A 6477-nucleotide genomic window follows, 5' to 3' on the forward strand; every position below is an offset into this window, starting at 1 on the left:
CTCCTGGATGCAAGTGATCCTCCTACCTTGGGCTCCCAAAGTGTTGGGATTACAGACATGTACCACCATACCCAGCCCTGTTTTTGCCTTAATTCTACTTGGCTATGTGGATTTTTGTTTTTTGAAGAATCTAAAAGTTTCTGCGTTTACACAGTGCATCTCTCTAAGTGCAAACTTCTAATTTGGTGAGATTCAGGCCTGGGCCTTTGCAACACATGATACCATAATTTGTGCTTTTCAAGACTACTCCTTTCTGCACCAGGTCATGACAGTACATCACACTCTGTAACCACGGTACAGTTACCTGACCCTACCTGTTTATAGCAATTGCACCTTTGGTTCCAGAGTTGTAGAAGTGGGGAACCCATCTGGATTCTGATTCATTCTCACAGTGCTTGTGTGACAGACAGGGCAGAAATCATGATCCCCCATTCTACAGGTTGGGGAAACCAAGGCACAGAGAAGCAATCAACCCAAAGTCACTCAGTAAGCCAGAAAACAAACTAGGTAAAGGTCCAGGCAAGACCACCTATGTTCCTTTCAGTGCCTTATCTGAAAAATCAGATTGTCTCCTCCAATGAATGCACATACTTTGGAAGTAAGTAGTTTTAAAGCGGAATTTTCTATGGTTTCAAAAGCCCTTTACCAACTCAAGAACCACAAGGTAAGAACCAGAATCACATTAACCTTTTAGTTAAATGCTTCTGACTCATGGATAATACCAATTATTTCAACTCACTGACAACCTGGTTATCAACAAGAAGAAAATTTAAGGAAAAAATTCACCCATTCAATAAAAAAACCTCGGTAAACAGCTCCTTTCCTTGTTTCATGATATCTTGAGCCTAACACCCAAGCACTGCTTCCTTCTACAGAATACACCTTTTATATTTGTTGGCATGTGATGGAGTGGGGGTGAAGGGTTGACAAAGTGTGTGTGTATGGATGTGTGTGTAATAATCAGCCATTTCAGGGACAATTTTACCCAGCAGAATATATATGAAATATGTTTAATGTAGCAGTTCTCTACCCTGTTTCCATTTTTTTTTTTTGGTAACATTTTATTCCTGATCCTGGTTTAATGTAAAAAGTGATGTTTTACTTCCCACCTTCCTTGATGAAGGCAGAGTCAATGGGTGGATATGGCCGTGGGGCAATTTCAGCTTAATGGAAGGGAAGCACTCTAAGGGTTAAAGTTGCCTGATGACAACTGAATGTGACCTTTTGGACCACAGAGTGACCTGGTATTGCAAGTATTTCACCCCAGAGGCTAAATGACCATCTGTCCACGAGGCACTGCCCTTTCCAACACTAGGGAGCCATATTCCCAGAAAGAAACTAGGCTGACAGCAATCCTCCTGCCTCCCCCTCCAGGTCAAGAAAGGCACAAAAAGGACCAACAAATAATACTGACATGGTGCTTTGGATCCAGGAGGCCTTGCGGTACCAGGAGAGGAATACTGATGGTTCCATCTGGCGAATGGGAAAGGTGAGGCATTGAGAGGGTGAAATGCTTTCAGGCATAGGTGAGGGGGTACCAGGAAATTTAAGGGGGAGACTCTTTTTCCTGGGGGCAGGTGGAGAAGGTACACGACCACTGATAGTGAACACAACTCTCAACAAAGGCAATTCCAGCTCTTCGGCCACCACAGTAAAGCAGCCAAGGATACCCTAATTGTCCTCAGAGAAGTAGAGATGATTCCTTCACAGAGGGAATCCTACACTCCAAACTCTCTGGGGCCCACCCTTGAGACGGCATGCAGGGCTGGAGATTTAGGCAGGAACAGCCTGGGCAGGCACGTAAGGTAGCTCTGCTTCTTAAGGCATGACTGCTGTCTTCATGGAGTGGGCCCCACCCTGCAAGGAAGCTTAATGGAATGGAACACTGCTCCCAAAGGAATCCAGCCCCTCCAGGGGCTGGGGGTTTCTATTAAAGCTAAACAGCATCACCAAACCAACCAATTTCCTGTGCCACTTGGTAGAATGAGGGAGGGGGCAAAGGACAAAAATTGAACATTATCTGCAGATGACTGTCTAACTAGAAAACCCAAGGGACTAAACTGGAAAACTATCAAAACTGGTGAGAATTTGCTCAGGTGGCCGATTAAAAGGTCTAAAAAATCAACTGCTTTTTGGATCATTTGGGCGTGGCTTGACACCTTGGAGGAGCTGTGTTTCTCTGGGAGGCCTCCGCGATTTGTGCAGCTTGCCATATTTTGAAAGATGGAGGTGAGCCAGGGTGATGTTCCCTCAGCAGTAGCAACACTGTCTCAGACACCAATGTCGAACAGGTGCCTGGGGCAACTGCTGCAGAAGGGGTGGGGACAACCACCTCTGCCCTCTCCTGGGGGGCCCTCTCACCAGTCCTGATCAGCCCCTTTCCCCCAAGCTTCTCTATTCCAGCCCAAGAGACACATAGGGAAGTTTGGCAAGGGTCGGTGCGGGAGCCATCAAGGGTGGATGTGGGCAGATTGTGCTGTCATCTCCAAATGAAGTAAGTTTTAAAAACAAAGGGGGCCAGCTGACAGGTCCCAAACGTCTGTACTGTTGTTGCCTCATTGGTCAGAAGCCTCGAGAGGCCACCGCGCTGCGCACCGAGCGGGGACTCCCACGATGGTCAGTGGTTGAGGGAGGCCCCAGGGGGCTGTGCGTGCCAATCTGGCTGGCAAAGAGCCGCAGTTATTTGCGGTCCAGGCTGGCGTGTAGCTGGGCCTCCCGCACCATGCGGTCGAAGGATCGCGTGTTGGTCTCCTCGCGCACCTTCTCACGCACGTGGAAGGAAGCCCGGGCTGTGGAGCGGGCGCTCTCCAGCGCACTGCGCCGTTCCCGCGTCAGCTGCTCGCTGCGCTCCAGCTTGCGCCCGATGGCCTGGAGTAGCTCTCGCCGGCGGCAGTCTTCGTCCCTCTCCACCTTCTCCTTGTTGGCGCGCTGGGCTCGTTCCTTCTCCAGCCGGCTCTGGCCCACGCGCCGCGCCTTCTGCTGCACTGCTTCCTCGGCCACCTGCGTCGCGTGCTGCAGCCGTCGCTCCCCCGCCCGGGCCAGCGCCTCCAGGTGCGCCTGATGTTCCCGCTCTTTGCGCTCTGCCGCCTCCTTGGCCCGCCGACCCTGCAGCTCCTCTCGCCGGGCCCGCTCCCGCAGCTCCCGGGTGCGCTGCTCCACCAAATGCTCGTAGTTCTCCTGCGCACGGCCCAAACTGGCTTCCAGCGAGCTCCGCAGGCCCTCTCGCTCCTGGCGCTGCTGCCGGGTCCGACCCTGTAGCAGCGCCTCGTGGCGCGCCCGCTCGGCCCGGCTCAGCTCCCGCTTCTCCCGCTGCAGCTGGCCCTCCTGCCGCTGCTTGGCGCGGGCCGCGCGCTGGGCGCGCTCCCTGCGGATCTGCTCAGCCCGCTCCCGCCCTTCCTGTAGACCTTCCTCACGTTGCTTCAGGTTCTGCTCCTGCTGAAGCTTGCGCAGCCGATCCTCCCGGGCCGCGCGCTCCGCCCGCTCCCGCCGCAGGAGGCCCTGGCGTTCGGCCAGCTCCCGCCGCCGCTCCTCGCTGCGCTCGTACTGCCGCTGCCGCCGCCGCGCCGCCTCGCGCTCTTCGCGGCCACGGCGGCCTCGCCGCTCCTCCACCTGCGCGGCCCAGGCTCGGCGGCCCTGCTCTAGGGCGCGCTGCTTCTCCCGCTCCTCGCGCTCCCGCCGCTGCTTGGCGTGCACGCGCTGCAGCTCCCACTGGCCGTGGGCAGCCGCGCGTTGCTCCAGCAGCAGGAGCTCCTCCTGGTGCCGCGCCAGCATGAGCGCCGCGATCTTCCGGTCACGCTCCGGCACCCCGCGCAGGCCGCGCTCTGCACGCACTTGACGCACGATGCGCTCCACGTGCTGAGCGGTCTGCGGCGAATGGCTCAGGTCGCCGAGGCTGAAGCTGCGGCCGGTGATCGGAACCAGGGTCAGGGCAGACGGGCGGCCCGGAGCGTTGGTGGTGGAGGACGCCGACCCCGCTGGGCAGCTGTTCCTGGCCGAGGCCCGAGGCGGCCAGCGCAGCTCCCTCAAGCTTTCCCCACTGTAGGATGACGACGATGCGCCCGACTCGGAGCTGAGGGCGCCCTCACGCCGGCGGGACAGTGAGTCCAGCGAATGGCTCTTCCTGCCTGTTCGAGAACCCGCTGGCGGAGGTTGGGTCCGGGCGGAGGAGGGACTAGGGGAAGCCTTGCGGGCCGCACGCGGCGCGGGCGAGGCCGGGAGGCTGGCGCTGCTGCAGCTGCTGCTGCTGCCCGCGCTCGGGGCCGAGGCCGCGGCGGCGGCGGCGGCGGCGGCGGCCGCGGGGCTCAAAGGCGTGAAAAGACGCCGCTTCTCCTCGCGCATGATGCGCTCGCGCTCGGCCCGGCATTGCTGCAGCTTGGCGCGCCGCTCCGCCTCGTAGGCCTCATACAGGCCGGTGGCCACCCGCATGGAGCGGCCCGGAGCCTCTCGCACCAGGTCGGCCAGGGCCCGTGGCAGCAGCTCCACCGGCTTGACCGCACAGCGGGCGCAGGCCTCTAGCGAGCGGGGGCTGGTCAGCACGTAGCGGCTGCCCTCCGCCTCTGGGCAGTCGAAGTTGAAGAGGTCGAGGTGCAGCAGCGGGGACTGCTCCCGCCGCCCGCCTTCTGCGGCTGCACATGGGACTTCTGCCTTGCGGGGCACCGCCGCGGAGGCCGAGGCCGAGGCCGAGGAAGCTGCGGGCTCCTGTGCGCCCTGGGAATCAGGGGGCACGGACGCCACGGCCTCGTCCCCTCCAGAGTCGCCGGGTTCCGCTCCTGCCTTCTCTTCTTCAGGCACTGGGTCCACCATGGCTGAGCCCCGTCCTTTGTTGGAATCTCTGCAGATCACAAGGAGGGACATCGAGGAATACGTCTGAGAGCTCTTCCCCCCTCCTCATCCATAGTCACCCCATCCCAACTTAATCCGCTTTCGGATTAGGCTCAGAGGCTTTGGTGGAACGTAAATCATAAAACCGATGTCGGAAAGCCCAGGCTGAGCGCCAGAACGGGGATGGGGGTGGGGCGGACACTCGTGTTCAGAGAGCAGCCTGGGTCTCCCTCAGCCCCGGAATGCGGGGTGGAGGCCTGTGGCGAGGCTCCTCTGGGCGCCTAGCCCGCTAGATGCATCCCCTTTCTGCTGCAAGTTAAGATGAAAAGATCCAGGTGCAGGCAGGAGCTAGAGAGGGAGGCGCTGGAGGATTCCCGGGAGGATTAGCGTATTTGTTTGTAGCTTAGGCGGGCTACTGGGGATGCAGCTTTGCAGGAACAAAAAAGCAAGAGGCCTGTTCATCCCAAGGGACCCCATTTGCCTAAGGGAAGAAGTTTATGGTTGATTTCCCCTGCCAAAGGAGACTCGGTCGCAAGGCCCCCGGGTGATTAAAGGGCTGGGAGAAGTCCCCAAAGGCCTCTCCGGGAGGGGTGATGGATTCTTGCTCCAGCAGCTCTGGCAGGGCTTACTGAGGGCTCTGCACGCCGCCTCCGCCCCCACCTCCACCCCCACCGGGTGTTTGCTGGGGATGGAGAAGGTGCCTGGATACTCTCAGACGCACCGGATCTCCTCCAAGTCTGAATGTGCTAAAGATACCATCCACCCCAGTCGGGGTTCAGATACCCGCCCTCGGGTGCCCTCCGAGTTCCCCCACAGCATCCCAGTGGGTGGGCTCCTGGAGTGCAAAGAACCTGGCCGCCCAGGTTCCCGCAGCTCCCGGTACCCGAGCCGGTTTACTCACCCCGCGTCCTGGGCTTCGGCCCCGCGCCAAGGGCTTTTGTTCGCAGCTCGCCGCTGTCCCCTGCGCTTCTTCAGTCTCTGCGCCGGCGGGGTCGGGTTACTGCCGGCTGCAACCGTGAAAGGAGCCCCATCTGCCGCCGCCAGCGTCTCTCCATGGGGTCTGCGAACAGGGCGCACGCACCCCAGATGCTACCTACACGTGGGAGGGGGAGTGCGACAATGTCTCCCTAAAATAACGCGGCTCTGCACCCTTCCCTCACATTGATTCTTTAAAAAAGAAGCCCGGTTCCGTCGCTGCGGCATCCCTCTACACCTCTACAACCGTGGAGGTACCGCAGGTCCCACGCTGCCCCCTGCGCCTCCTGGCGGACACTCGAGGGTGCTGGTTTGTTTGCTTCGAGGACGAAGGAGAAATTTTTGTTTAAATGTATATATGTACATATATACACACATATAATATGTATATATATACACTACACACATACAGGTAGATGTAGGTATAGATATGGATAGATATCGATATATAAATCACCAAGAAACCCTAGTCTTTCAGCAGCCTAACTGGGTAGAATGAAGGAATTGCTCAGCTTGTTTCTAAAGGAAACCCTGAGGAGCAAACAAACTTGATAGCGAATAATTGGGTGGAAATATGGCGCCTGATGCAAATTGTGATTTTTTTTTTTTCAATGAAAAACTAAAAACAGGCTGGGCAAGGTGGCTTACACCTGTAATCCCAGCACTTCGGGAGGTCGAGGC

The 6477-nt window shown here is 57.7% G+C and overlaps 1 protein-coding gene across 1 annotated transcript; it reads right to left on the minus strand.

The window, feature by feature from the left end:
* Positions 1 to 979: 979 nt before the first annotated feature.
* CCDC177 (coiled-coil domain containing 177) lies at positions 980 to 6052 on the minus strand. The gene is made up of 2 exons (NM_001271507.2): positions 5723 to 6052; positions 980 to 4831 (listed from the first exon to the last, which is right to left on the minus strand). The coding sequence occupies exon 2, from the start codon at positions 4801 to 4803 to the stop codon at positions 2680 to 2682; it is 2124 nt and encodes a 707-aa protein (NP_001258436.1). The 5' UTR covers positions 4804 to 4831; positions 5723 to 6052; the 3' UTR covers positions 980 to 2679.
* Between the last annotated feature and the right edge of the window lie 425 nt (positions 6053 to 6477).

The sequence above is a fragment of the Homo sapiens genome, chromosome 14 (assembly GCF_000001405.40).
Source record: "Homo sapiens chromosome 14, GRCh38.p14 Primary Assembly".
NCBI lineage: Eukaryota > Metazoa > Chordata > Mammalia > Primates > Hominidae > Homo > Homo sapiens.